Source organism: Homo sapiens, chromosome 9 (assembly GCF_000001405.40).
Source record: "Homo sapiens chromosome 9, GRCh38.p14 Primary Assembly".
NCBI classification, from domain to species: Eukaryota; Metazoa; Chordata; class Mammalia; order Primates; family Hominidae; genus Homo; species Homo sapiens.
The window spans coordinates 85043509-85046218 of record NC_000009.12 but is presented as its reverse complement, the minus strand read 5'-3'; the positions used below and the strand labels follow the sequence as shown (position 1 = coordinate 85046218).

Below are 2710 nucleotides of genomic sequence, written 5' to 3'. Positions count from 1 at the left end.
CATAGACTGGTTAATTTATAATAAACAGATACAGGTGGGACTCAAGGCACAGTTCATCCTAAGGCAAATTCCTCTCCAGCTGTGAGCCTGTGAAATTAAACAAGTTATCTACTTCCAAAATACAATGATGGAACATGCATAGGATAGATATTCACATTCCAAAAAGGGGGAAATAGGCAAGAAAAAAGGATTAATGGGCCCCATATTAGTCCAAAACTCAACAGGAAAAACAACAGTAAGTCTTAGAGCTAGAGAATAATCTCCTTTGAGAGGAGTTAGCGTCATGATCCTCAGGAGGAGATGTGTTGCTCTTATACAATGGGGCAGAGAAGAATTTGTTTAGCACCCAGTTGATCTATTGGTTGCTTTCTGATACTTCCTTGACCAATTTTGATGGTAAATAAACAAGTGCATCCTGAGATGGGCATGGTGACCAGGAGCTCTGGGATGTGGGTCTAGGTCACTGCACCAGGTAAACTATTAAAACCAGCTAATGGCCAGGCACAGTGGTTCATGCCTGTAAATTAACAGCACATTGGGAGGCCGATGCAGGAGGATCACTTGAGGCCAGGACTTCAAGACCAGCCTGGCCGACCTAGTGAACCTTGTCTCTACTAAAAATACAAAGATTAGTGGGGTGTGGTGGTGAGTGCCTGTAATTCCAGCTACTCAGGAGGCTGAGACAGGAGAATCACTTGAACCGGGTGGCGGAGGCTGCAGTGAGCCGAGATTGTGCCACTGCACTCCAGCCTGGGTGACAGAGTGAATCAGACTCTGATTCACTGGGTGATTCACTCTGGGTGACAGAGTGAATCAAACAAACAAACAAAAAAAACGAAAACAAAAAAAAAAAGAAGAAGAAAAAGAAAAAAAAACAGCAGAGGTGGTAAACTGGAGGGAAGGAAGTCTAGAAAAGATAGTGGAGAAGGAAGACAATCGTACATTTGTCACTAAGACCACCTGCAGTGGCAGGGACTGTAATCTGACCAACAAATCTTTCTCTTCCAGGTTTTTCTCAGGAAGAGAAGCCTACTGGAATTACGTCAAGCTATTCTCTGTATATATACAAGGCAGTAGCTCTAAGTAGTGAGAGGAGTGGATTGTGGTGGACACAGAGCTGTGCCCTCCAAATACTTCTTCATTGTAGGAATTGTCAATTTGGCTCCTGGAAGTGTAGCAGACAGCCTACAGCTGTCAGCACCTTCACAGGCTGCTTCAGCTACAGAAAGCCACTTTGTTCAAGTTCATGCATCTTCCTGGGGCAGCTTCCATCCAGTCACTAATAAATGTGCGAATCTAAAGGTCTAGCTGTCTTGGCGAAACTTGGAGAACTCTGGAAAGCCATAGTTGTGCCAGAGCTCCCTTTGGGGGAAGGTTGAGACTGTCCTTAGACCTATATCACAGTTTAATTCATTTTTTGACCAATCCTGCTTCCCTTTCTTTCCTTATACAAGTATTGATCTCAGTGGCACTCCTTAATAAACATCCTACATTCTGTTCTCCATCCCGGTGTCTGCTTCCCAGGGAGCCTAAATGTGACAACTGTCTACTAAGTGGCAGGATCCATGCTTGGTGACTTACATTTGTCATTGCTGTCATTCCCCACTACACCTTGTGAGATGTTTTGGATGATGTCTACTTTTTAAGATTTGAGGTGGGGAGCATCAGAGGTTAATTAACTTGTCCAGGGATTGATCATTTATAGTTCTGACTGATCCCAGAGGTCATGTGTGTCCAGTCTACCATGCTAGCCACAGCTGTTGTAGGAAAATAAACAAAACAAAACAAAAAACAGACACGAATAACCACTTCTCACTATAGACCAGACATTGTGTTAGGCACTTGTACCTACACACAACATCATTCAGTTTTCACAGCAAGCCAATTAAAGTAGAATGTTAGCCTCATTTTTATGCATGTAAGGTATAAGATCAAGGCTAACAGACTTTCACAGAGTAAGAGGCAAAGTTGTTTCTGGACCCCAGACCTGTCTGATTCCAAAGGCAGTGTATTCTCCTCTGAGTCAGGCTGTTTGCTCTGTGTAAGGTGGAGGTCCTCTCAGGGAGAACATGAGAGACCGGAGGCCCTGAGATATGGATTTACCTAGAAACAGCCCAAACTATATAATATTCATTGAAATATCTACCATAAACATGAGTATCTTCTCTCTCAGAGGGAATTTTAGACATTTTTTTTTACTGCAGTCCCCCACCAGCCTTCTAAACCCTGGGGTTACTTAGATTTAGGATGCCTATGTAATTTTTGATCCAAAGCATGCCACTTGAGGGTATCATGGGACAATAGAGGTAAACCAGGATGGCCATGGGCAAAAAGAGAGAAATGCTCATTCTACTAGTGGGAAAAAATGTTGTTACATTTCTTAGGTGCTAATCTTCATTAATACTTAGCTGGTGCCTCAAACCAAATCACAGTATAAGGTGGGTTGTAAGAAAGAGTGCTTTGGAGTTAGTCTCTGAACGTCAATAGCTTTAATACATTAACGTTTCCATAGTAAATTTACCCATGATCCTGGCCTCTTGATCATGCAGCAACTCGAGTTCCACTCTGATATAAACACTGCACATTTCCGATTTGTGGAATTGTTTTCCTTTAATTAAATGAAGGAGGGGAGCTGTAGTTATTTTCAACTCTGCACAAATTACTACCCAGTAGAAGCCAAATAATGCATTGTAAGTAGTACTTATTCTAT

The 2710-nt window shown here is 42.4% G+C and overlaps 1 annotated feature.

Annotated features, from left to right (window-relative positions):
• Window positions 252–1451: an enhancer, noted in NCBI's record as "P300/CBP strongly-dependent group 1 enhancer chr9:87659683-87660882 (GRCh37/hg19 assembly coordinates)". NCBI's record gives its function as "activates an origin of replication core promoter dependent on BRD2, BRD4, P300/CBP, MED14 and CDK7 cofactors, with strong dependence on P300/CBP, by STARR-seq in HCT116 cells {active_cell/tissue: HCT116}" and the evidence as "EXISTENCE:reporter gene assay evidence [ECO:0000049][PMID:35650434]".